This window comes from Homo sapiens, chromosome 2 (assembly GCF_000001405.40).
Source record: "Homo sapiens chromosome 2, GRCh38.p14 Primary Assembly".
In the NCBI taxonomy this organism is placed as follows: domain Eukaryota; kingdom Metazoa; phylum Chordata; class Mammalia; order Primates; family Hominidae; genus Homo; species Homo sapiens.
The window spans coordinates 27,496,044-27,523,731 of NC_000002.12; the positions used below are offsets into that span (position 1 = coordinate 27,496,044).

The 27,688-nt window shown below is 45.5% G+C and overlaps 1 protein-coding gene across 5 annotated transcripts; it reads left to right on the forward strand.

The window, feature by feature from the left end:
- GCKR (glucokinase regulator) lies at positions 796-27,641 on the forward strand. 5 transcript variants are annotated; one of them, NM_001486.4, is made up of 19 exons: positions 796-921; positions 1,201-1,356; positions 1,519-1,587; positions 2,212-2,280; positions 2,681-2,754; positions 3,099-3,165; positions 3,354-3,407; positions 5,092-5,186; positions 7,471-7,576; positions 9,675-9,793; positions 10,438-10,536; positions 10,745-10,842; positions 11,192-11,268; positions 11,638-11,734; positions 11,934-12,031; positions 12,125-12,208; positions 22,745-22,894; positions 26,417-26,551; positions 27,226-27,641. In NM_001486.4, the coding sequence occupies exons 1-19, from the start codon at positions 862-864 to the stop codon at positions 27,394-27,396; spliced, it is 1,878 nt and encodes a 625-aa protein (NP_001477.2). In that variant the 5' UTR covers positions 796-861; the 3' UTR covers positions 27,397-27,641. The 5 variants fall into 5 exon arrangements, 4 of the variants coding, with proteins under 4 accessions (NP_001477.2, XP_011531065.1, XP_016859285.1 ...); XM_017003796.2 differs by lacking the exons at positions 796-921; positions 1,201-1,356; positions 1,519-1,587; positions 2,212-2,280; positions 3,099-3,165 and having other exon boundaries at positions 2,717-2,754; XR_001738699.1 differs by lacking the exons at positions 10,745-10,842; positions 11,192-11,268; positions 12,125-12,208; ... (1 more) ...; positions 26,417-26,551; positions 27,226-27,641 and having other exon boundaries at positions 11,934-12,025.

A 27,688-nucleotide genomic window follows, 5' to 3' on the forward strand; every position in this document is an offset into this window, starting at 1 on the left:
GCCCTTACATTATATCATGCTTTGGTTGAGCTTGAAATCTGAATTGAGAACCTGGGTGTGAGTCCCAATTTGTCCAGCTGTGTGATCTTAAGCAACCAACTAAACTACTCTGAGCCTGTTTCATCATCTGAAAAATGAGGGTGTCAATATTGACCAACATCTTAGTGTTGGTGTATCCAATGAGATACTGTCTGTGAAAAGTGTGTTGTTCAGTGTAAATAAATGTTGGCTAACATTGTATTTAGGGCAGATTCTTTGGTTTCTAATTCTCAATGCAGTATTTCTGTTTCTGTGGGATTTTTCCCGCTGTAATATCCAGTACAGTGTGTGCACACTTGGGGCTCAGAAGCTTCTACTGCCTTCCTTTCTGAGAGGAGAGGATAAAATGGGACCAGTGGGACTGACTGTGTGTGCTGAGCATGTGATCAAGCCATGGGCCAGGTCCTCTGACTTGTGCTGACTTGGTGACCCTGATCTCTGGCCTCGGAGGACACTTGCCCAGGGATTCTCACTGCCGTGGGTGTTGTCCTGCACTCCCAGGCTCCAGGTCCTCTGTAGAAGAGGGCATTGTCCCGGTAGGGCAAGAGTCCCGAGCCTCAGGTCTTCCTCTTCAGGGGCCAAAGCAGAGGCTGGCGAGTCAGGGTGCTTGCAAAGAGGAAGCCCAGGAGTTTCCCTGGGGTTACCAGAGGGCTGGGGGCCTAGTGACCAGGAAAGGGTGGTGCTCTGAGAGCCCAGGGTGCTTGGGTTAATCATCACTGGGGCTCAGATAAGGCCCTGCCAACTGGAAGCAGAGTCATTGTGACCAGAGGGGTTTGTGTGGCTGAAGAGGCAGGAGGAACAGTGTATCCACAGCGTGGGACCATGCCAGGCACAAAACGGTTTCAACATGTCATTGAGACCCCGGAGCCTGGCAAGTGGGAGGTGAGACCCCTTCTTCATGTTGGCTTTCTGTGCTGATTCCTAGAATTATTTTTCATCCAGTCTTCCCTCCCCGCTGGTTTCTGCTCACCTCTTCTTCCTTCCTGATGTTCTTTCCCTAATATGCCCAGAGCACCAAGTGCAGGCTGAGTTTCTGGTGTGGTATGTGTGTGCGTGTGTGTAAGTCCAAACTCTGTGCCTGCTGCCACTCCCACCTCCAGCTCAGCAGGCATGAATGAGGCTTTGGCTTCCTGCTCCATCCTTGTCCCCTCTTCCTTCTAGTTGTCTGGGTACGAGGCAGCTGTGCCAATCACGGAGAAGTCAAACCCACTGACCCAGGATCTAGACAAAGCAGATGCTGAGAACATTGTTCGACTGCTAGGGCAATGTGATGCTGAGATCTTCCAGGAGGAGGGGCAAGCCCTGTCCACATACCAGGTAACCAAGACCCAAGACCTGGACCCTGGAAATAAACATGCCAACCCCAACCCCACCTCTGCTCTCCCTCACCATGGCTCCTAATATCGGAAACCCTGAGACCCCCTCCCCCATTCATCGTCCTCCTTTTCTTGGCTTCTCATTCCTGCATATTCCCTACAGAGACTCTACAGCGAATCCATTCTGACCACCATGGTACAGGTGGCTGGGAAAGTTCAGGAAGTGCTGAAGGTACTAACCTTCCTTCTGTTCCCTGCCTAAACTTTTCTGTTTCCCTCTTTCTCTTTTTACTGTCTCTATTTCTCACTTTGATAGATCTCATTCTCCTTTCTCCCTTTTGGAGATCCTCCCTTTTGGATCCTTATTTTCATCTTATTAATAAATAATAATGATAACTTCTCTGCTTAATACTTTATAATTGACAATCTACTTTCACACCTATTACCCTCACAAAAGCCTGTGAAGTTGATATGACTTCTGTTTGTTTTCCTCAGATGAAAAAACAAAGATTTAGAAAGGATAATCACTGTAGCTTGCTCAAATACACTGAGCTAATAATTGCTGGATAATGCTGCTTTTATTATTTACTTTTATTTAGATGACAAAGCTGCTTTCAGTTCTTTCTGGGAGAAGTAAGGATTTGAACAAGTAGTGGAGCAAGACATGGGAGTCAAACTGGTTTCTCTAATCCAATGTTCTTTTTGCTACACTACATTGCATGTATTTGTTCAATTTTGTGATGAGAGGAGGGATAAGGAGTCTTTCCAATTCCTCTTGCATTACTGACAAAGAAAAGAATATTCTTCTCCCAACCTGAGCCAGGCCCTGGTAATATATGCCTCTTTCCTTCTTCAGGAGCCAGATGGGGGGCTGGTTGTGCTGAGTGGAGGGGGCACCTCTGGCCGGATGGCATTCCTCATGTCGGTGAGCACCCTGGTCTCCAGTTTTCTTCCCCCTCCACTTCTGGAGGTGACCCTCAGGACCATAAAGATCATCATAACTAAGCTCCCAGGTGGCCCCCTCACTAGACCTGGACTCCAAGCCTGGCTCTTTCTCTCTTCCAAAAGCTAGATGTCACCATGAAGTCCCATTTCTTCTGAGCCCATCTGAGTCCCGCCAGTATGTTGCCAATGTCTCTACATCCCATGCACCACCGACTAATCATCTCCAAGTAGCAGCTTTAAGTGCGAGATTCCATGTAGGACTGGGTTAAGCACTGGTCTAAGAGAATCATTATATAGTCTCTGCCCTCTAGGAGTTGAAAATCCAAGATAATTGTTTCTTCTCTGTCATTACCTCTTTACATCCTCTCCCTGCTTGACAGGTGTCCTTTAATCAGCTGATGAAAGGTCTGGGACAGAAACCTCTTTACACCTACCTCATTGCAGGTGGTGACAGGTAAGCCAAGTTAGCCTATGAATATTTTGTTTGACCTAAATAGTATTTCTTAGAAATTGAGTTGGAATACCTTTAGACAGAGATTGTGTCTGGCTTGTCTTAGTCCTCACCATTCCTTATTCCCTCACACTTGGCCCACTTCACATACTTATGTCGCCTGACTGGCTGTTGTAGGTATTTGAGTTTTTCAACTCTATGGAGTGTCTATCATGCACCAACAAACTGTGGGTGCTCATTCAATGATAGTTTTCCCTTTATGCGCATCTCTTAATGTAGCCTGCCCTAATACGCCATAGGCTTCTGCTTTCCAGCCACTGCCACTGACCTTGAGTCTGTCCTCTTAGGTCTGTGGTGGCCTCTAGGGAGGGGACAGAAGATAGTGCCTTGCACGGGATTGAGGAACTGAAGAAGGTCTGTGCTTTTCACTGACATTGACCAGAGACCTCTATCTGTTCCTTCTCATGGGGACATAAAAGCCCCAGCATTCAGCCAAAGCCTATTTCCTCCCTCCCCTGTTCCTGGCCCTGATATCCTCACACAGTAGATTTGTGCCCTGGAATCCTCCCAGTTACACTACCTTGTCCATCCTCCTCTCCTAGGTGGCTGCCGGGAAGAAGAGAGTGATTGTCATTGGCATTTCTGTGGGACTCTCTGTGAGTAAAAAGATGGGTTGAGTGGATCAATTTTAGAGAGAGGAAGTGAGTGGGAATGGAATAGCATGGAAGATAGATCAATGAGATCGGTGCTAGAAGGCAGGAAGTTTGCTCAAGGAATTTTGGTTTTAGTTTCACTAACTTGGATCAAGTTGTGTGAATGTGGGAAGATGGGGAAGGGATTCTATTTCAGAATAACTGTGTATCAATCAATCAACAACCAAGATAGGTGGACTAGTCCAGGGGTAAGCAAAATATACTGGCTGGCCAATGCAGCCAGCTGCCTGTTTTTAAAGTTTTTTGTTGTTGTTGTTTGTTTGTTTTTGAGATGGAGTCTCGCTCTGTCACCCAGGCTGGAGTGCAATGGCATGATTTCGGCTCACTGTAAACTCCACCTCCCAGGTTCAAGCGATTCTCCTGCCTCAGCCTCCCGAAAAGCTGGGATCACAAGCGCCCACCACAATGCCCGGCTAATTTTTGCATTTTTAGTAGAGACAGAGTTTCACCATGTTGGCCAGGCTGGTCTCGAACTCCTGACATCAGGTGCTCCACCTGCCTCGCTCAGCCTCTCAAAGTGCTGGGATTACAGGAGTGAGCCACTGCACCTGGCCCTAAAATAAAGGTTAGTTTTTGTTTTTGTTTTGGTTGTCGTTGTTGTTTTTGAGAGTCTCCCTCTGTCTCCCAGGCTGGAGTGCAGTGGCATAATCTTGGCTAACTGCAGCCTCCTCCTCCCAGGTTCAAGCGATTCTCCTGCCTCAGCCTCCCGAGTAACTGGAATTATAGGCACATGCCACCATGCCTGGCTGATTTTGTATTTTCAGTAGAGACAGGGTTTCTACTAAAAAAGAAAACTGGGGACCAGGATGCTCACCGACATGAGGAATGCCATGTTGGCCAGGCTAGTCTTGAACTCCTGACCTCAAGTGATCTGCCCACCTTGGCCTCCCAAATTGCTGGGATTACAGGCATGAGTCACCATGTCCAGCCCCTAAAATAAAGTTATTGGAACACAGCCATTTTTGTTTACATATGGTCTAAGGCCTCTTTTATGCTATAGCCATAGGGTTGAGTAGTTGGACAGAGACCATAGGGCCCACAAACCCTAAAGTATTTAGTATCTGGCCTTTTACAGAAAAATATGGCCCCTGGACTAGTCTCTTGCTACTTAAAATGTGGTGCCTGCACCAGCAACATCAGTGTCACCTGGGACTTGTTAGAAATGCAAAATCTCAGGCCCCACTCTGGACCTACTGAGCATTTTAACAAGATTTCCAGGTAGTTTGAGAAGCACTGAGCCAGATGACTCCAAGTTTCCTCTCAATTCTGCAGCTCTCTGGCTCTAAGAATTCACTTCGCAGAAACTAGATCCCACCAGTGTTATATATGGAAGGAAGCACACAAAGAGAAGAGGATATTGACTTCAAAGAGTTTACGATTTTAGTTCAGTAGTATTCCAACTTTACCGTGCAGAAGATTTCCTTGGAGAACTTGTTAAAAATGTAGTGCCCTTGAGGTACTTGTTAAAAACGTGCTCCCCCTTCAAATTTGGATCCAGTAGATTGTAACTGTACCTGGGAATCTGCATTTTGAACAAGCATTCTGAAGGGTTCTGATGCACTTGAGCCTTGGGCACCACTCAGAGTAATGACCCCCTCATCATGCCCTTCTCTCTCTTCACCATCAGGCTCCCTTTGTGGCAGGCCAGATGGACTGCTGCATGAACAACACAGCTGTCTTCTTGCCAGTCCTGGTTGGCTTCAATCCAGTGAGCATGGCCAGGTGAGCCTTCTGGAATGACTGGGCAGCCCTGGGGCAGGCTGGAGGGGAACATGTCAAAGTCTACAGTACAACCACAAGGGAGAGAACAGATAGTCTTGTTCACCAAATCTCAGAATATTAAAGTAAATATGGGGTGCCCCTAAGCTTATAAGGTTTTTTGTTTGTTGGTTGGTTGAATTATTCTCTTCTTGTTTCAGAAAGCATTAAAGGCAGCTTATAAAGGATGCATAAAATATAAGATAGCATACATTCAAAACAGGGATTGAAGAGGCAAGAGAAACAAGGAATAAAATGGAGGATAAAATGGGGTCAGGAAGATGCATACCATAAAGATTTGTGCTTTCATATGGGGGTGAGCCCCAAGCACCTTTTCAAAGTAGTAGTAGTGGGTGCCAGATGGCCTCCTACTCCTCTTTGTCCAGTTCCCTTATTTAGTGCCCATTCTCTCTCATCATTCCAGGCACCCCTTTCCTCCCCCGAGGATCCTCAGATCTCTCACTGTCTTCCCTTCCCTGAGAGCCCCTCATTACCAAATCACCTCCCTCTTATTCTCTATGTCAGTGGTCACTCTTATTTCAGAATAAATCAACATATTAAACCAGTAGTGCTCAGATGTGGTTCTGTGCATGAGCTGCCTGGGGAATGTTACAAAAAAATAAAGAAGATTCTTAGTTCCTTGTGTAAGAGGTCTGATTTTGTAGGTTTGGAGTAAGGCCCTGAAATATCTATTTTTTGAAAGCAACCCTGGAGATTCTGATGCACAGCCAGGTTTGGGGAACTCTGCTAAATAAACCATTGGAGTGGGCCACCTGACAAAGCTGAGGGCTTCCTGACACCAGAGGGATGCGGCAAAGGCTTGTTGATTATTTTAGAGCAGCTTTTTGTATTTAGCGGTGGTCTTGGGAAGGGGGACAAGTGGGTTTTTCCAAGGTGCTTTTTCACCTTCCAGATTCTAGGCGGTAGTATAATTTATGCGAAGGTGTAAATGAATCTGAAATACTCCTAACCCTGATCCTTTTCATGGAGGGCTCTCCTTCACCAAAAATGTATCTGCTGCAGTGGATGCTAATTTCAGGCCCTATGACTAAGTGAAATGAAGAATTTCAAACAACGTAGGCGTGGAGATCTTCCAGTTGTTCCTTAAATCAGTGGCTCCCAAACTTGGCTGATTTTCAGAGTCATCTGGGAAGCTTTTTTAAAATACAGATTTTTGGGCTCCACTCCAGAACTACTGAATCTGAATCTTAGGGTGGACTTGGTACCCAGAAATGGGTAGTTATTAAAAAACAAAACTCCCCAGATGATTTGGATGCCCAGCTGTGTTTAGGAATCTCGACGTTAAACCATACGATATGAACCCTCTCTGCTTTAGTCTCCTCTTTCTTAGGACTCTAGGAAGTTTCAGAAATAGTTTGAGGAAGAATGACAGGAGACATTTTATACAACGGGCATGAAATATGTGAAACTTGTCTGCCCTAGAAGTAATACAGAAGAAAAAAAATACAAAAATAGTTCAAGAAGGGAGGGAACCTTTGCAGGATGGGATGATAAGGTGAAATTAGGGGTGCCATGTACAGAAGTAACTAACTCTTTGAGGTCCTGCCACAGTGGGCGATTCACAAATTATCCCCTAGCAAAGCCATTAGAAATCAACTAAAGAAGATCGTCATTCTTTGAGATTCCGTGATTTGTAACTAAGCAGATAACAAGTCTGTAGCTCTCTTGCCTCATGAACACATTTATTTGTTCCCAATTAATTTACTCAAGGAATGTTCAACAACTGTGAGGTGCTACCTTGAAGCTTGGTTCCCTCACTGTTATCCCTCCCTCTGGTACTGAGGGTTCACTCTTTGGAGGGATTTCCAGAATGTATTCCCACAAATGGGAAGGGCTTCTGATGGACCCTAAGATGGAAAATAAGGTGACAATTTTGACATTTGAATAACAGGCCTTCCCTAAAGGACCTGCAGAGAGTGACATTAGTATAGCCATGGCATTGGGGCTTATGCAAGGAGCAGGACACAAGATAGTTTGGGTCTCAGGCTGGGACTTTAAACTTGAGTGTTGGCTTTGCTCTGGGCTTGAGGTGCTGCATGTTTTATTAACCCCTGTCCTTGGGGTTCGGGGACACAGTGCCTCTAAAAGTTCCAAAGCATATGTCTGTATGAAGTTGTTGACCTCTGACCTCAATCCCAATGCAGTCTTTGATCATGACTCCCAGCTGAGGCCCTTCTTTGAGATCCTCATAGACAATCTCCCCACCTTGTGTCTCTCTGGACCTCAGAAATGACCCCATTGAAGACTGGAGTTCAACATTCCGACAAGTAGCAGAGCGGATGCAGAAAATGCAGGAGAAACAGAAAGCTTTTGTGCTCAATCCTGCCATCGGGGTAGGGCCTCTCCTTTTTCTATGTTCTCCACCCCTCCAACACCTGGGAACTGCTTGCCACTTCCTTGGGGCCTCTGATTTTAGGTTCTATTATATCTTGTTTAAATTCCTGAGGTATTGTGAGTCAGCTAAAATGTTATAAACCAAATCCTATTTTCCCATTTACATTTTCACCTTAAGATATTTCGTCTTCATTCCAACCCTCTCTCTCAAATTGGTAAGCCTTAAACACTTCAGCGGTCTGGGACAGTTTCTATTTAAAGAAGCTCTTTGCCATCTATGTATAGAGAGCGTTGAATAGCCATTGTTATGTTTCAGTCTGTCTCTCTCACATATTTACATTTTAAATATGGGCTTTAAAAAATGGGGTGCAGTTTTGTTTCATTCTTCTGCCTTTCTAAATCCTCTCCAAAATTGGGTGGCCCTTCTTAGGTTGAAAGCTGTTTTCTCTTGTTCCTTTTTTTCTCATCTGGATTGCAGATACATTTCACTAGCACCATTTCTCCTTACTTGGGCCTTACGAGGGCCTTAGCCAAATTCCAGCCCGTGCCTCCCTCTACCAGTGGTGGGCACACCATCTGCGACATTCTCCTCCATCTTCCTTTTGTGAGATAAGAAGGTAGAATTCCATATGACATAAGAATTCCACGGCTTTCACCTCCTAAATGCTCATCTGTCTTTCCTCCTCCCTGCAAATGTTGACTTTCAATGGCTTTCAATCTTCTTTTCTCAGTCACTACTTTTTTTTTTTTTTTTGAGACGAAATCTTGCTCTTGTCACCCAGGCTGGAATGCAATGGCCTGATCTTGGCTCACTGCAACCTCTGCTCCCCTAGTTCAAGCGATTTTCCTGCCTCAGTCTGCGGAGTAGCTGGGATTACAGGTGCCTGCCACCACATCTGGCTAATTTTTGTATTTTTAATAGACAGCCTGTTGGCCAGGCTGGTCTCGAACTCCTGACCTCAGGTGATCCGCCCGCCTCGGCCTCCCAAAGTGCTGGGATTACAGGCGTGAGCCACCGCACCCAGCCTCAGTCACTACTGTTATCATTCTGTTTGCTGTAGCCTCTTTGTCTGTCTGGTGTGCTGTGTGCCACATCTGGACTGCTGCAATCACTTCTTCATTGGTCTGTCCAAAGCATATGACATGTGGTATTTGGATTGATAAACTACCACAGAAAATGGTGGAAGTGGGGGAGAAATTTCTTGGAAAGAAACACACTCTCTGGTCTGGGTGTAGTGGCTCACGCCTGTAATCCCAGCATTTGGGAGGCCAAGGCGGGCAGATGACTTGAGGTCAGGAGTTCAAGACCAGCTTGGCTAACATGGTGAAACCACGTCTCTACCAAAAATACAAAAATTAGCCGGGCGTGGTGGCAGGTGCCTGTAATCCCAGCTACTTGGGAGGCTGAGGCAGGAGAATCGCTTGAATTTGGGAGGTAGAGGTTGCAGTGATCCAAGATCGTGCCACTGCACTCCAGCCTGGGTGGCAGAGTGAGACTCCATCTCAAAAAAAAAAAAAAAAAAAAAAGCACTTTGGGAGGCCGAGGTGGGCGAATCACGAGGTCAGGAGATCGAGACCATCCTGGCTAACACGGTGAAACCCCATCTCTACTAAAGATACAAAAAATTAGCCGGGCATGGTGGCGGGCGCCTGTAGTCCCAGCTATTTGGGAGGCTGAGGCAGGAGAATGGCGTGAACCCAGGAGGCAGAGCTTGCAGTGAGCCGAGATCCTGCCACTGCACTCCAGCCTGGGTGACAGGGTGACAGAGCAAGACTCCATCTCAAAAAAAAAAAAAAAAGAAAAAAAAAGAAAACAAAGAAAAGAAAAGCACTCTGAAAAACCCTTGACCCAGCTGACAAGAGACCCAATCACTCTGACTTCCTCTCCAGAAAGTCCTGAGTATACCTAGGAGTGATCAGAGGAGGCCCTTCCCCTCTTTCTAATCTTCCTCTCGGTCAAGCCCACCCCAGCACCCTTCCTCACAAGCACACTGGGGGCCACTGGTACTATCACATGCATGCCCGGGGGTTACTAACAAGTGGTCTACGGGGTCTTCATCCTCTCCCAATTCCTCTTGGGTGTCTTCACCTCTTCAGCCCGAGGGTCTCAGCGGCTCCTCCCGGATGAAAGGTGGAAGTGCCACCAAGATTCTGCTGGAAACCCTGTTATTAGCAGCCCATAAGACTGTGGACCAGGGCATTGCAGCATCTCAAAGGTAGGGAGGATCTGGATAAGAGAGAGCTCAGAGTCAGGCGAGTGTGAGATGGTGTGGATGGAGATTGGCAGGTCTAGATCCAAGGACTGGGCTGGTGGCAGTAAGACTGCAGCCCACCACGCCTCCCCTGGGAAGGGAGCTGGGTAGTACATGCTGTTGCTCCCACCTCATAGTTGCAGAGTCCGAATTGTTTCCAGTGGATCCTGGATTCCTCAGGCCCAGACCTAATCCCTGAGCCTGCCTGGGGCCTCCAAAGCTAGCCTGGCTCCCTAGGGTCCTTTGATTTGGGGGTGGTCCAGGCCATGCAGGTAGAGCTTATCCTACTCTGGACCTGCCTCCCTCTCCAGGGTCTCTAGCCTCACTCCTAGGCTGCTCATGCCCCTTCCCAGTGGCTCTCAGATCCTGCTCCTCCTGGTGCTTTCCTGCTGCACTCGTCCCTCTTTCTGCTCTTTTGTTTTCTGCCCATTGAAGAAGCCCTTGCTGCCCCTTCGGAACGCAGTCTGGGCCTACTCTCTGCACCTCTCCAGGGACCAGCAGAATTTAGTTCTAAGGGAGCTGTGCCTTCACCTCCCCGCTCAGGGAGGCACCTAAGCTTTCTGAGGGGGAATTGGGCCCTTCTTGAGAGCTGGTGGCTTTTCTCCCAGATGCCTCCTGGAAATCTTGCGGACATTTGAGCGAGCTCATCAGGTGACCTACAGCCAAAGCCCCAAGATTGCCACCCTGATGAAGAGTGTCAGCACCAGGTGTGTGGATATGTGTTTAGAGGTGAGGATGTGGCCCGGATGGAGAATACTGAGAGCAGGGAGACTCTGTGAGACATGTTAACACGGTATGGGCGATAGGATTGCATGTTGAAGGGTCATGGTTTGTTGACTCCTGTGTTCTTCTGTGGACATCTCTGGCCTCTTTGCACGGTGATCTCTCATGTCCTGACCTCTGACCCATTCTCAGTCTGGAGAAGAAAGGCCACGTGTACCTGGTTGGCTGGCAGACCCTGGGCATCATTGCCATCATGGATGGAGTAGAGTGCATCCACACCTTTGGTGCTGGTGGGACCCCAGTCCAGATGTTCTTCCTGCTTCCTCCTGATCCCAACCATTCGGGCTGCTCTCCAAACACTGTCCTACTCCCAACCCATGGGTGTTCCTCAGTGTCCCACCTTCCCTATCTAAATAGGCACTTCAGTCAAATTCTTCTTCCTTAGAACCCCAACTCAGTCCTTGATCCCTTCTCAGCTCCCACCCCTGTGCTTAACTATGGCCTCCCACAAGGGCTACTCCTCACTCTACGCCCCACTTGCCACTTTTCCTCCCAGTCCCATTTTCTCCCCCTGAAGCCTAGAACCTTCCTTTCCTATATAGCCAATCACTCCTCTCTCCTTGTTCTTAAACTTCCCAGATTTCCGAGATGTCCGTGGCTTTCTCATTGGTGATCACAGTGACATGTTTAACCAGAAGGCTGAGCTCACCAACCAGGTCGGAGAAGAACAGGACTTGGGGAAGCTGGGGAGACCACTAGTGTGCTGAGGGTGGAAGAAAAGGGGAAGGCGGAGCTAGGTGGGAAGTTCATTGGAATAGACGGTCCAGAGAAGAGAATATGGGTCAGAAGTCATGAGGCTTTGGCTTAGCATGGGCAGTGTGGAAAGCTCTAGATCCAGTCCCCAAACTTGGCCCTAGTCCACTGACTTGTTACATAATCTTGGGCAAAACACTGTACCTTTTGAACTTCAGCTCTTTCACCTGTGCACAAAAGTGTTAGATCTCCTCCACGGCCCCCTTTAGTCCTCAAGTCTGTGCTTTAGAGTGTTTTCATGGGAGGGACCCTCCCATCTTCTTCTGCCCCAGGGTCCCCAGTTCACCTTCTCCCAGGAGGACTTCCTGACTTCCATCCTTCCCTCTCTCACGGAAATCGATACTGTGGTCTTCATTTTCACCCTGGATGGTGAGAGGGAAGATGGGAGTGGTGAGGGGTGGGGAGGGGGAAATAGAATGGTTCAGAGGAGCTGTTGTTTTTCTGGGTCTTAGGGTACCTGCTCAGAGGGAGGGACGGGGTGAATATCCTGACTGGACCCCAGCCAGGGGAGCAGGAGGAACAGCTGCACAGCCAGCCTTTCGACTCTGATGCCCTCCCCTTCTCCTAGACAACCTCACGGAGGTGCAGACTATAGTGGAGCAGGTGAAAGAGAAGACCAACCACATCCAGGCCCTGGCACACAGCACCGTGGGTCAGACCTTGCTGGTGAGAGTCCAGCCGTGACAAAGGGACCCAGGTGGCAGTTGCAGCCAGGCCTTCCTGGAGATGCCTCTCCTGCTCCTCTTTCTCTCTCTCCAGATCCCTCTGAAGAAGCTCTTTCCCTCCATCATCAGCATCACATGGCCACTGCTTTTCTTTGAATATGAAGGGAACTTCATCCAGGTATGGGGAATGAGAAGGTCCTATCTGCAGTAAGGGGCTCAGAGGGTGAGGGATTCCAAGAATCAAAAAACCCAAGGCTGTAGGGCAGAAAGTTTGGAGACCTCTCTGACCCTCACAAAGCCAGCTGGGCAAGGTCATGGGTTACCAGGTTACTAGTCAGAATTCCCAAGGCAATGAACTACTGGGCTCAGCTGTCTCTAGGAATATGCAAAAAGTTGCGGGATAGGCCTCCAGTCACCTGACAGATGTTCATTTGTCCTTTGGGACAGGTTAATTATTTTTACTTTGAGACAGAGTCTCACTCTGTCGCCCAGGCTGGAGTGCAGTGGTGCAATCTTGGCTCACTGCAACCTCTGCCTCTTGGGTTCAAGTGATTCTCGTGCCTCAAGTAGCTGGGACTACAGGTGTGCACCACCATGCCCGGCTACTGTTTGTATTTTTAGTAGAGATAGGGTTTCCTCATGTTGGCCAGGCTGGTCTCGAACTCCTGACCTCAAGTGATCTGCCTGCCTCGACCTCCCAAAGTACTGGGATTACAGGTGTAAGCCGCTGCGCCTGGCTGGGACAGGTTAATTCTTGATACCAAAGTCATCATCATTATCCAAAAGCTTTTACCACACCTTTTTTTTTTTTGCAAGTTTACTATGCTGAATTCATTGCAGATAACTTTATGTGCATATAGTCCCTGCTTGCCAATGAATTATAATCCAGCACAAATACTGATAATAATTACAGAAATAATAATCAGTGTGTGTGCTCTTTGCAATTTAGAGCTTTGTGTGGGCATTGGGAGCTCTGGATGCCGGTCTAGCTCTACAGTGTGGCCCAAGAAAGCAAGCAATTTTACATCTCTGGTTCTCAGTTTTCTCATACACCACCTGCCCACCCTCCATGGGCAGAATCAGGGCCCTGAAGGGTTGCTCTGGAGAGATGTGGTCTCTTATTCGTTATTCAAACCATGTCTGTCAGAAGTTTCCTGGCTTGACCAGACACAGCTGAAACACTGACTTACCTGGACTCAGAACTCGTATAGAAGCGGAAGTTTCTCTGCCCCTGAACAGGGAATCCACTCTCCTTCCAATGTCTTTCATTCTTTTTATTTTTTAAAGACAAAGTCTCACTCTGTGGCCCAGACTAAAGTGCAGTGGTGCCATCTCAGCTCACTGCAACCTCCGCCTCCCCTGCTCAACTGATCCTCCCACCTCAGCTTCTCAAGTAGGTAGGACCACAGGCACTCACCACCATGACTGGCTAATTTTTGTATTTTTTTTGTAGAGATCGGGTTTCTCCACATTGCCCAGGCTGTTTGCCAACTCCTAGACTCAAGTGATCCACCCGCCTTAGCCTCCCAAAGTGCTGAGATTGCAGGCGTGAGCCACTACGCCTAGCCAAAACACTGTATTTTTAAAGAAAAATGTTCATTTTAACAGCCATACATTTTTTATAGATACATTTTTTATAGTAAAGACGTTACAAATTACAGAAATGCAAAAAAGAAAAAATCACTCCAAATCTACCATCTTCAAAAAAAAAAAAAAAACACTCTAACAAATTTTGGAGAATGTCCTTTTAAATTTCTATTATATGCATATATAAATATATTTGTACAAAAGTAAGACCATACTTGATATGCTGTTTTAAAGTTGCTTTATGAACATCTTTCTGTACTAATAGATCACCATCATTTTCAAAAATTATTATTATTATTATTTATTTTTATCATGCCGGGACATGTTCTCATCTGATAGATCACTACTATCATTTTTTTTTTTTTTAAGATGGAGTCTCGCTCTGTCACCCAGACTGGAGTGCAGTGGCGCGATCTCCGCTCACTGCAAGCTCTGTCTCCCAGGTTCACGCCATTCTCCTGCCTCAGCCTCCTGAGCAGCTGGGACTACAGGTGCCCGCCACCACGCCTGGCTAATTTTTTGTATTTTTTAGTAGAGACGGGGTTTCACCGTGTTAGCCAGGATGGTCTCGATCTTCTGAACTTGTGATCCACCCGCCTCAGCCTCCCAAAGTGCTGCGATTACAGGCGTGAGCCACCACGCCCGGCCACTACTATCATTTTTAGTGTCAATGTAATATTCCACTGTATAGATGTACCATAAATTGTTTAACTCCGATTATCAGACACAGAGACAACTTCAATATTATGGTTTTTATTAAAGTGCTGCACTGAACATCCTTATAAACACATCTTTTAGGCATTTGACTTGTTTCACCAGGATAAACCCCAAAAGCGAAATCACTGGGTCAAAGGGGATGTAAAATTTTGAAGCTTTTTGATACATACAGCCAAACTGCCCTCCAAAGAGGTTTATAAATAAAGCGTGAAGTTGCTTGTTCCCTTACACCCTTATACATACTGGATAGCATCCTTATAAAAAAATCTTTGCTAATCAGTAAAGCAACAAAAGGGCATTTTAGTGTTATTTTAATTTATATTTCTTTAATTATTGTGTAGGTGGACTACTTAAAAATATATATTGGCCATTTGATACTTTTTTTTTGTCTTTCATGTACTGCTTCTTGTCTTTTGGGTCTATTTACCCATTCTTTCTTTGGGGGGTATTTTTTTTTCTTATTTGTAAGAAGGGGTGTGTATAGCAAAAACAGTAGCCCTTTTTTTCTTTTCTATATTTTTCCCAGCTTAATATTTTCTTTTGTTTTTACGTTTTTTATGTAGAGACATTTTATTTAAAATGTTACATAGTCAAATCTATCAATCTTTTCCTTTGTGTTTTTTGCCTTTTGGTTGATGTTGGTTTTATTTATTTGTTTATTTATTTGTGAGACAGAGTCTCGCTCTGTGGCCCAGGCTGGAGTACAGTGGTGTGATCTTGGCTCATTGCAACCTCTGCCTCCCGGGTTCGAGCGATTCTCCTGCCTCAGCCTCCTGAGTAGCTGGGATTACAGGCACACGCCTCTATGCCCTGCTACTTTTTTCATTTTTTGTAGAGACAGGGTTTCACCATGTTGGCCGGGCTGGTCTCGAACTTCGGACCTCAGGTAATACACCTGCCTTGGCCTCTCGAAGTGCTGGGATTACAGGAGTGAGCCACTGCACTCAGCCTGGTTTTATCTTTCTAAATGAATTGGAATTGTTTGAAATAAAGAGGCTTTGTTTGGGCTGGTCAATCTTTAGCTATAGAAATATTTTTGACAGACGCCGTGGCTCACGCCTGTAATCCCAGCACTTTGGGATGCCAAGGCGGGCAGGTCACCTGAGGTCAAGAGTTCGAGACCACCCTGGCCAACATGGTGAAACCCTGTCTCTACTAAAAATACAAAAAAATTACCTGAGCATGGTAGTGGGTGCCTGTAATCCCAGCTAGTCGGGAGGCTGAGGCAGGAGAAGCCGAGGTTGCAGTAAGCTGAGAACGCACCATTGCACTCCAGCCAGGGCAACAAGAGTGAAACTCTGTCTCAAAAAAAAATAATAATAAAAATTAAAAATAAAAAAAAGAAATATTTTCTATGTAAACTGTTCCTACACTTTTATTTTGTTTTGTTTTGTTTTCTTTTTTGCCTTCCGAAGTGACAGTGGATACACTTTTATTTTGATAAAAATCAAACCTACAGAAAAATACGAAAATGGTGCAAGGAACACCCATATACTTTTCCCTAGATTCATCAATTATTAACATTTTGCCATATTTGCTTCATCTCTTTCTTTTCCCCTGAATTATATGAAAGATAATTGGAGCCAGGTACGGTGGCTCATGCCTGTAATCCCAGCACTTTGGGAGGCCAAGGCAGGCAGATCACAAGGTCAGGAGTTCGAGACCAGCCTGATCAACATGGTGAAACCTGATCTCTACTAAAAATACAAAAATTAGCCAGGCGTGGTGGCTTGGACCTGTAATCACAACTACTCAGGAGGCTGAGGCAGAAGAATCGCTTGAACCTGGGAGGCAGAGGTTGCAGTGAGCTGAGATCATACCACTGCACTGCAGCCTGGGCGACACAAGACTCCATCTCAAAAAAAAAAAAAAAAAAAAAGCCGGGCGTGGTGGCTCACGCCTACAATCCCAGTACTTTGGGAGGCTGAGGTGGGTGGATCACAAGGTCAAGAGTTCAAGACCAGCCTGGCCAACATGGTGAAACCCATCTCTACTAAAAATACAAAAATTAGCCGGGCATGGTGGCACATGCTCATAGTCCCAGCTACTCGGGAGGCTGAGGCAGGAGGATCACTTGAACCTGGGAGGTGGAGGTTGCAGTGAACCGAGATCATGCCACTGCACTCCAGCCTGGGTGACAGAGTGAGACTCCATCTCAAAAAAAAAAAAAAAAGAAGATAATTGGAGATGCCTGATATGTTATACTAATTACTTTGGTATGTGTCCTCTAAGAACAAGGGCATTCACCTACATAATTACAATATACTTTTCCACTCAGGAAAATGACAATTAATATACTATTATCTATTATCTAGACCATATTCAAATTTCCCCAAATATTCCTGTATTGTTTTTATTTCCCAGATCCAGGATCCAATCAAGGATAATGCACTGCATTCAGTTATCAGGTCTTTTGGGTTTTCCTTTACTCCAGATGAGTTTCTCAGTTGTTCTTTATCTCTTTGATGACATTGATATCTTAGAAGTAAGTCCAGGTCAGTTGTTTTCCAGAATATGCCTCACTTTGGATTTGCCTGATTGTTTCGTCATGATATTCAGGTTAAATTTTTTGGCAGGAGTACTGCATAGGGGAAGTTGTGCCCTTATCAGTGTATCACATCGGGAGGTACCTGATGTCAGTTTGCCCCTTTATTGGTGATGCTACATTCCATCGTTTAGCTAGGATGGTGTCTGTTAGATTTCTCTGTATCCTATTCCTCAGCAATCTTTCACCCAATGGTTTTAGCATCCACTGATGATTCTTGGTTGAATTAATTATTACTATGGTAGTTTTTCAATGGTGATTTTCTATTTCTATCCCTTCCATCTATATTCAGTAGTTGGCATTCTTCTGTAAAGAAAATCTCTCTCATCCAGGTGCGGTGGCTCACATCTGTAATCCCAGCACTTTGGGAGGCTGAGGCAGGTGGATCACTTGAGGCCAGCAGTTTGAGACCAGCCTGGCCAGCATAGCAAAACCCCATCTCTACTAAAATACAAAAATTAGCCGGGTGTGGTGGTGTGCACCTGTAGTCCCAGATACTCAGGAGGCTGAGTCGGAGAATTGTTTGAACCAGGAGGTAGAGGTTGCAGTGAGCTGAGATCGTGCCATTGCACTCCAGCCTGGGTGATAGAGCGAGACTCCGTCACAAAAAAAAAAAAAAGAAAGAAAGAAAATCTTTTTCTTCTCTCCCCGTCCTATCTACCCTATCTATCTTTGTTTTTTTAGTGTCAATATGGACTCATGAATTTTTTGTTGTTGTTAAATGTGTTTTAATCCATTCTTATTATTCATTATTTATTTTAATGCTCAAAATGAGAGTTCATTCAAGCTGGTTCCTGTGTCCTTGTGACATATCCACATCAGTATTTGAACACTCTTTGTTGTGTTTCTTTTTGTAAAATAATAATAACCTTCTTATGCAAAAGGTAGCATCTTTTTTATATCTTGCATTTTTTGCTTAAGATATTCTGAAAATCACTGCAGTGCAGTTTATAGATCTCTTCCTCATTATTACTTATTATTTGCATTTGTGTGTGTGTGTGTGTGTGTGTGTGTGTGTGTGTGTGTAACAATAGTTTGCCCTGTCAATCTCCTATGCAGGAACACAAAACCACTGACCCAGGCTCACCTATACTTTCCCTGATCCAGCCCTGGAGTCAGTCATTTTTCTGAGGAGACCTGATCTTGTTAGTGGGTTCTAGTATTTAGAAACCCAAATGCTAGGTATGTTCACTGCTACTGGTGTGTCTTTGCCTCTAAGCCCTATCAGTAGAAAGAATAAGGGTGTGTGTATGTGTGTGTTTATGTATATATACATGCATACATACATATACATATGTATGTTTGTTTACATACAGATGAATGTGTCTGCGTATATATATATATACACACACATACATCTATATATACATCTATATAAATACTGTATATATATTCCCACTCTTCTTCCTCTTTCCCTTAGTGATAATGTTGATTTCCAACATCATCAATATATCTGCCGTCTCATTCCATTTCCATTCATGCCTGTAGGGAATTAGTTTAATTAGTTACTGGCTTATCCTCCTATGTTTCTTTTTGGAGAAAAGTGTGTGTGTACATATAAGTTTGCACTTCCTATACAAAAGGCAGTCTACTATACTCTTTTGTGCTTTAAGAAGATATTCTGAAAATCACTCCATATTGGATCATAGAGCTCTTCCTCATTAATTTTTACCTTTGTGTGTTTCCACATATGTAATAGTTTACTCAGGCAATCTCCTATGTAGGACATATAGGTTTCCCATATTTTGCTATGATCAATCATGATGTAATGAATGTACATGTATTTTTATAATGTCAGAAGAGTATCTTTGGGATAAATTCCTAGAAGTATTAGAGCTGGGTCAAACGGTACATACATATGCCATTTTGTTAGATATTGCAAAATTTCCTTCCATAGGGTTTACTATTTTGCTTTCCATACCAGCAATATACAAGAATGCTGCTCTCCTACAGCCTCTTGGAGAGTTTTGTGAAGTTTTTGGATTTTGTCAACCTGATAGATTAGAAATGCCACTTCTGTGTAGTTTTCATTTATTTATTATTATTTTATTACTATTATTATTATTGTTTTTTGAGATGGAGTCTTGCTCTGTCACCCAGGCTGGAGTGCAGTGATGTGATCTCAGCTCACTGCAACCTCTGCCTCCCAGGTTCAAGCAATTCTTCTGCCTCAGCCTCCCAAGTAGCTGGGATTACAGGTGCCCAGCACCATGCACAGTTAATTTTTGCATTTATAGTGGAGACAGGGTTTCACCATGTTGGCCAGGCTGGTCTCGAACTCCTGACCTCAGGTGATCTGCCCATGTCGGCCTCCCAAAGTGCTGATTACAGGCGTGAGCCACCACGCCCAGCCTTATTTTATTATTTTTTTGAGACAGGGTCTCATTCTGTCACCTAGGCTGGAGTGCTGTGGTGTGATCATGGCTCACTGCAGCCTCAACTTCCTGGGCTCTGGTGATCATCCCACCTCAGCCTCCCGAGTGACTGGGACTACAGGCGCTTGCCACCATGCCTAGCTAATTTTGTTTCACCATGTTGGCCAGGGGTGTCACCATGTTGGCCAGGCTGGTCTTAAACTCCTGACCTCAAGTGATCCACTCGCCTCTGCCTCCCAAAGCACTGGGATTATAGGCGTGGTCCAGAAAGCTTTTTCTAACATCTAAATTGTAAAGGAATTCCATCCATGTTTTCTGCTAGTAGAGATGGTTTCTTTTTTTCTTTTTTAAACACTTAGATCTTTAATTTATTGGGAGTTTATTCTTGTGTATGGGGTAAGGCATGAATCCAATTATTTATTTTTCCAAGTGATTATCCAATTGTTCGTATATATATATATATATATATTTTTTTTTTTTTTTTGAGACAGAATCTCACTCTGTCACCCACGCTGGTGTGCAGTGATGTGATCAGATTTCACTGCAACCTCAAACTCCTGGGCTGAAGCAATCATCCCACCTCAGCCTCCCAAGTAGCTGGGACTACAGGCACATGCCACCATGCCTGGCTAATTAAACAAAATTTTTTTTTTTTTTTTTGTAGAGACAGGTTCTTGCTATGTTGCACACGCTGGTCTCAAATCCCTGGCCTCAAGCAATCCTCCTGTCCCAGCCTCCCAAAGAGCTGGGGTTACTGGGGTGAGCCACCGTGCCTGGCTCCAATATAATTTTTTTAAGTTCATCTTTTCCTGAGTGATTTAGGATGCTATCTGTGTCACATACTCAATTTCTATGTGCATTGGTCTATTTATGGACTTTCTATTCTGTTCCACTGGTTTGTCTATTGATGTGCTGGTACCATATGTTTTAATTATGGAGGCGTTATGGTATGTTTGGTATCCAATAGGGTTTGTTCTTCATTCTTGTTTTTTTTTTTTTTTTTTTTTTTTTGAGATGGAGTCTCATTCTGTTGCCCAAGTTGGAGTTCAATGGTATGATCTCGGCTCACTGCAACCTCCGCCCCCCAGGTTCAAGTGATTCTCTTGCCTCAGCCTCCCAAGTAGCTGGGATTACAGGCACGCGCCACTACACCAGGCAAATTTTCTTTTGTATTTTTAGTAGAGATCAGGTTTCACCCTGTTGGCCAGGCTGGTCTCAAACTCCTGACTTCAAGTGATCCACTCACCTCAGCCTCCCAAAGTGCTGGGATTATAGGCGTGAGCCACTGTGCCCAGCCTATTCTTCTTTTTAAGGATTTTCCTGGCTATATCCAGGCCGATTTTTCCATGTGTACTTTAAAATGAATGTGTCGCACTCCAAATTTTGTAAAATTTAAAATATTTTTGTGTTAATGGTGTTAATGTTAATGGTATCAATGGTTAGTGGTATAACCTAGATCTAATTGACCTCTCTCCCAAAGTGCAGTCTGACACGCACCCTATAGCATCAGTACTGCATACTTACTGGCCAGTTTCATGCTGAAATTTCATGCTGTTCTTATATTTAGTGTCGTGGACATTCACTTATTAAAATGTTTTCAATATACCCTCTTCCAGGGTTTTGTGTGAACAGCTATTTCTAGAGTTCCAGAATAAAGAGGTAAAAGTAGCAGTAGCCTGTTTCCTCAGCCTGGCTAGGACCACGTGTATTAGTACCTTTTTTTTTTTTTTTTTTAATATGGAGTCTCATTCTGTCGCCAGGCTGGAGTGCAGTGGCGTGATCTAGGCTCACTGCAACCTCTGCCTCCTGGGTTCAAGTGATTCTCCTGCCTCAGCCTCCTAAGTAGCTCTGACTTACAGGTGCTTGCTACCATGCCTGGCTAATTTTTGTATTTTTAGTAGAGACGGGGTTTCACCATGTTAGCCAGGATGGTCTCAATCTCCTGACCTCATGATCCGCCCACCTTGGCCAGTACATTTTCATACTGCTCTAAAGAACTGCCCGAGACTGGGTGATTTATAAAGGAAAGAGGTTTAATTGACCCACAGTTCAGCATGGCTGGGGAGGCCTCAGGAAACTTACAATCATGGTGGAAGGTGAAGGGGAAGTAAGGCATCTTCTTCCCAAGGTGGCAGAAAGGAGAAGTGCCAAGTGAAGGGGGAACAGCCCCCTTATAAAACCATCAGATCTCATGAGAACTCACTATCCCAAGAACAGCATGGGGGAACGCCCCCTGCCCCCCATGATTCAATTACCTCCACCTGGTCTCTCTCTTGACACATGGGGATTATGGGGATTACAATTCAAGATGAGATTTGGGTGAGGACACAAAGCCTAACCATATCACCAGTTAATTAATCCCCTCAACACCTTTACTGGGCCCCAGTTTCCCTGCTAATGTGCCAATAGGTGTTATAAGTGCCCCAAGGTGGACAAGATATAAGGGCCAAAAACAAGGGGCAGTTTTATACTCGCGATACCACATGTTTGAACAATTTTTTAGTTTTCAACATGCCTTTACATAGGTTCTCTCATTCATCCAGGAGATATTTGTGGCAAAGTAGGAAATGCCCTCATCATTGAATCAGAAGACCGGGATTTAGGTCCTCATTCTCCATCTCGTTATCATATGAGCTTCTCCAAGTTAATTTACTTCTGACCTCTAGTTTCCTCATATGTAGAAATGAGGATAGGTAAACTTATTCTGTAGGGCTGTTAGAAAAATTAAATAGAATTCATTTTTCAACAAACATTTTTTTTTCCCCTGAGACATAGTCTCACTCTGTTGCCCAGGCTGGAGTGCAGTGGCACAATCTAGGCTCACTGCAACCTCCACCTCCCGGGTTCAAGTGATTCTTGTGCCTCAGCCCCCCGAGTAGCTGGGATTACAGGTGTATGCCACCACTCCTAGCTAATTTTTGTGTATTTAGTAGAGACAGCATTTCATCATGTTGGCTAGGCTTGTTGAGAACTCCTGACCTCAGGTGATCCCCCAACCTTGGCCTCCCAAAGTGGTGGGATTACAGGAGTGAGCCACTGTGCCCGGCCTCAACAAATGTATTGATCAGCAAATATGTGTCAGTCATGGTCTAAAAAACTGGGGCCCTGGAGCAGAATAAGTCACCATCTCTGCCCTTTCAAGAAGCCTGTGGTTTAGTGGAATGAATCCCACTCCTCCTGTCTGATACCCGGGGAGAAAAAGGAACAATTCAGCAGGATCAAAATTCTAATATGGAAGGACTCAGAGAACATGTCTGTCTACCTAGGGGTCAAAAACACAAATGGGTGAAGCTACCAGGTTTGCCTGAGACAATCCTGGTTTACATCTATTGCCCTAACATTTAAACGCTGGGCTGCTCAAACAAATCATGTTTGCATTTTGGTCCCTGGTTCTTGACAGTTGGTTTCCTGTCTGATAACAGGGCCCTGTTCACTCTGCTGCTTTTCTGTCCTCTAATTTTTGACACCCCCATGTGTCTGCCCTTTTCAGAAGTTCCAGCGTGAGCTAAGCACCAAATGGGTGCTGAATACAGTGAGTACAGGTGCTCATGTGCTTCTTGGTAAGATCCTACAAAACCACATGTTGGACCTTCGGATTAGCAACTCCAAGCTCTTCTGGCGGGCGCTGGCCATGCTGCAGGTAGGGATATGATGGGGCAGGGTTGGGTGGGACCTGGCCTCAATGCTTAGGCTGCCAGAGGAGGGCATTTTGTAGAGATATGGAAATGTGCAAGGGTACAGGCTGCCTTTTCTGTGTGCTTCTGCTCCTCCTATTAGGTGCATCTTCCCCTTAAGGAGTGTGTGTGCACACATGGGTGTGTTTGTGAAATTGTAATTATTAGGCAAGACTCTTTCAGTTACAAACGTGATGGAAAACGAGTTTATACTGGTTTAAGCTAAACAAAGAAAATGGTGGCTGATATAACTGAACAATCTTAGGGCAGCTGAATCTAATGTGTTCCAGAACTTTCCACCCTTAACTCTGTTTTCCCCTGTGTTGCTCTCATTCTTTTTTTTTTTTTGAGATGGGGTCTTGCTCTATCGCCCAGGCTGGAGTATAGCGGTGCTATTTCAGCTCAGTGCAACCTCCGCCTCTGAGGTTCCATTGATTCTCCTGCCTCAGCCTCCCGAGTAGCTGGGATTACAGGCACCCCCCACCATGCCCAGCTAATTTTATATTTTTTAGCAGAGACAGGGTTTTGCCATGTTGGCCAGGCTGGTCTCGAACTCCTGACCTCAGGTGATCCACCTGCCTCAGCCTCCTAAAGTGCTGGGATTACAGGCGTGAGTCACTGCACCCGGCCGTTGCTCTCATTCTTAGGCAAGTTTTTTCCATTAGGTGGCAAACTGGCCACCAGTAGTGCCAGCCTGACAATTTACGTAGCAACACTAGTGGGCAAAGAGCTTGCCTGTCCTGTGGTTCTTGCAAATGCCTGGTTGGGGGCTCTTGCTTGGGACACATGCATGTCCCTGAAGCAATCACTGTTCTCCAGAGCAAGGGATGCTCTGCCCAGTCTGGATCATGTGCTTTCCCTTCAGGATGGTGGTGGAAGAAGGGCTGGGAGGTGAGCCTCAATCCAACCTCATTACCTGAGCATGGGGAAGCGATAGATCCTCAGAGGAAAACCAAGGTGCTGATACCAGAAGGAGTGGATGTTGAGCAGACGGCACAACAGATGGTCATGAAAATGGGGTCGCCAGATTCGGCAAATAAAAATACAGGACGCCCAGTTAAATTTGAATTTCAGATAAATATGGAATAATTTTTCCATCAAGTATGCCCTATGCAATATTTGAGATATTTTTGATTTTTTTCATTATATATTTGGATGTCCTGTATTTTTATTCACAAAATCTGGCAACCCTATGTGAAAGGAATCAATCAATGAACATTTAGTGAGCACCCACCAGGTCCCCAAAATAAACTATGGTCCTTACTGAAGTCCAGTGGAGGTATAAAGAAGGTGGGGGTCAGAATGCATTATAGCAAAAAGAAGGCCTCATGGAAGGGGTGGTATTTTGAGCTAGGCCTGGTGGTTATGGCTTGGATAGGTGGACAGAAGAGCATTCCTGTTAGGTCATTCACCAAGTCCCAGAAGGGGGACTGGGCATGATATGTGAGGGACACAGGTCTAACCAGAGTGGCAAGTCACTTTAGAGCGCAGTGAGGGATTGTGAAGAAGTAGGAAGGGGAGGGATGTGGGAGGTTAAAGCCAGGCAGGAATTTGGACTTTGCCAAATGCAGCTAGACCTGCGCTGTCCAAAACATTGGCCACCAGCCACATGTGGCTATTGAGCACTTGAAATGTGGCTAATGTGACTGAGGAACTGAATTTTTAATTTTATGTAAAAACCAAAGCTGTATACTTTTTAAATTAAATGTAACTTTAATATTTTGGTAGGACTACATTTCTCTTTTTAGCATTGCAAATCTAGCACCCAAATTGAGGTGGGCTGGCTGGGCACGGTGGCTCACGCCTGTAATCCCAGCATTCTGGGAGGCCGAAGCAGGCAGATCACTTGAGGTCAGGAGTTCGAGACCAGCCTGGCCAACATGGTGAAACCCCGTCTCTACTAAAAATAAAAAAAATAAAAAAATAGCCGGGCATGTTGGCACAGGCCTATAGTCCTGTCTACTAGGGAGGCTGAGGCAGGAGAATAGCTTGAATCTGGGAGGTGGAGGTTTCAGTGAGCCAAGATAGTGCCACTGCACTCCAGCCTAGGTGACAGAGTGAGACTATCTCTCAAAAAATAAAATTAAAATTAAAAAAAGCCACAAAAAAACAAATTGAGGTGTGCTCTAGTTGCAAAATACACACTGGATTTCAAAATACAAAATCCGAATATAGAAAAATATTGCAAAATATCTGACTAATAATGTTTAATATTGTTTACATTGGGTTATATATTGGGTTAAATAAAATATATTATTAAAATTGATTTCAGGCCAGGTGTGGTGGCTTACACCTGTAATCCCAGCACTTTGGGAGGCCAAAGCGGGCAGATCACAAGGTCAGGAGAAATAGGTGAAATCACATTTTTTTTTTTTTTGAGATGGAGTCTCACTCTGTCACCCAGGCTGGAGTGCAGTGGCATGATCTCGGCTCACTGCAACCTCCACCTCCTGGGTTCAAGTGATCCTCCTGCCTCAGCCTCCTGAGTAGCTGGGATTACAGGCATGCGCCACCACACCCAGCTAATTTTTTTTTTTTTTTTTGTATTTTTAGTAGAGACGGGATTTCACCATATTGGCCAGGCTGGTCTCCAACTCCTGACCTTGTGATCCACCTGCCTCAGCCTCTCAAAGTGCTGGGATTACAGGTGTGAGCTGCTGTGCCTGGCCAATTTCACCTATTTCTTTTTTTAATGCAGCTACTGAAAACTTAAACTTACATATGTGGTTTGCATTATATTTTTTTCTTTATTTTTATTTTTTTTAGAGACAGGGTCTCACGCTGTTACCCAGGCTGGAGGGCAGTGCATTGGCACCATCCGGCTCACTACAGCCTCAAACTCCTGAGCTCAGGCAATCCTCCCACCTCAGCCTCCTGAGTAGCTGGGACGATAGGCAGGTGCCACCATGCCCAGCTAATTTGTTTTATTTTTTGTAGAGATGGGGTCTTGCTGTGTTGCCTAGGCTGGTCTCGAACTCCTGGGCTCAAGTAATCCTCCTGTTTTGACCTCCCAAAGTGCTGGGATTACAGGTGTGACCCACTGTGCCCAGCCTTGCATTATATTTCTACTGGACAATGCTGAGCTAGACAGAGAGGAGGGTAGTGACAAAATGGAAGCAGTGTTTGCAGATGAACAGTCTTACATTAGTGTGCAAGATGGATTTGGTTACAGAGGAAACTAGAGAGAGGGAGTCCAGATTACCAACCTACAGGATTGGTGGGACACACATGCAAATTTGAGCAATTTGCCATTAATCCTCCAGTTTAACCCAGCCAGTCAAGCCCACCACCAACCCCTTTAACCTAGTTTTTCTTTACACCTGGGAATTACAATTTAGGATTGCCAACATGGACAAATCATCTACAGCCTCTATAGCCAGGCCTCGGGATCCCAGCCTCTCACTCTCATAGTTTATTCTTCTCCCTTGACTCCATTCTTAGTTCCTCTGGCCTTTAGCCTGACACTGATCTTACCACTTCTTCCTTAGCGGTTCTCTGGACAGTCCAAGGCTCGATGCATCGAGAGCCTCCTCCGAGCGATCCACTTTCCCCAGCCACTGTCAGATGATATTCGGGCTGCTCCCATCTCCTGCCATGTCCAGGTTGCACATGAGAAGGAACAGGTATCCTGCCCACTGCTGGTCATTCAACAAATACTTTTTGAGTACTTTCAGTGTGTCAGGAAGTTTGTTCGGCACTGGGTTTACAAAGCTCAGTGGCACTCTGCTCACAAGGACCTCCACATTCATGGGGTCTTTGGACTGGGTTTTGAAGGATGAATAGGAGTTTTCCTGGTCAAAGTGAAGGTTTCTTTCTGCTCTTAATCCACCTTGTTACCACCTTCTAATCTTAATAACATCCTATTTGCATCTAACCTAGTGGCTCCTGATTCCTGTATCAAATGCTTTAACTCCTCCAGGGTTCTGTTTTTTTTTTTTTTTTGAGAGAGAGTCTTGCTCTGTCACCCAGGCTGCTGGAGTGCAGTGGCGCGATCTCGGCTCACTGCAACCTCTGCCCCCGGGTTCAAGAGATTCTCTTGCTTCAGCCTCCCAAATAGCTGGGATTACAGGTGCCAGCCACCAATGCCTGGCTAATTTTTGTATTTTTAGTAGAGATGGGGTTTCGCCATATTGGCCAGGCTTGTCTCAAACTCCTGAACTTAAGTGATCTGCCCACCTCGGCCTCCCAAAGTGCTGGGATTACAGGCGTGAGCCACTGCGCCCGACCTTCCTCCGGGGTTCTTTCTCTGATGACCTCATTCCCTCAGGCTTCAGTGCCCACTGCCTCTTCCCCACAGGTGATACCCATCGCCTTGCTGAGCCTCCTATTCCGGTGCTCGATCACTGAGGCTCAGGCACACCTGGCTGCAGCTCCTTCTGTCTGTGAGGCTGTCAGGAGTGCTCTTGCTGGGCCAGGTCAGAAGCGCACTGCGGACCCCCTCGAGATCCTAGAGCCTGACGTTCAGTGAACCCATGTTTCTGGGTGGGTGAAAGGGGCCCAACCCTGCCCACTTCAGCCCAGCCCGCCCAAGGGGACTTGTGCCAGCAGAACATGTGGGAGGAAGAAGCCCCGTTTCCAGGGCATCCGCAGCCCAGGGTAGGGAGAAATATTCTCTCCACTTTGGGGGAGAGTTCTTGCTCTCGACCTAGTGGTTTCTACTCTCACCGACTTATTCTGATTTCAGAAATAAAATGAAATGTCTTATTTTGGAAAGTTAACCTTTCAAAGTCAGTAAATCAAACAGTAGATCAGAGGTGGGA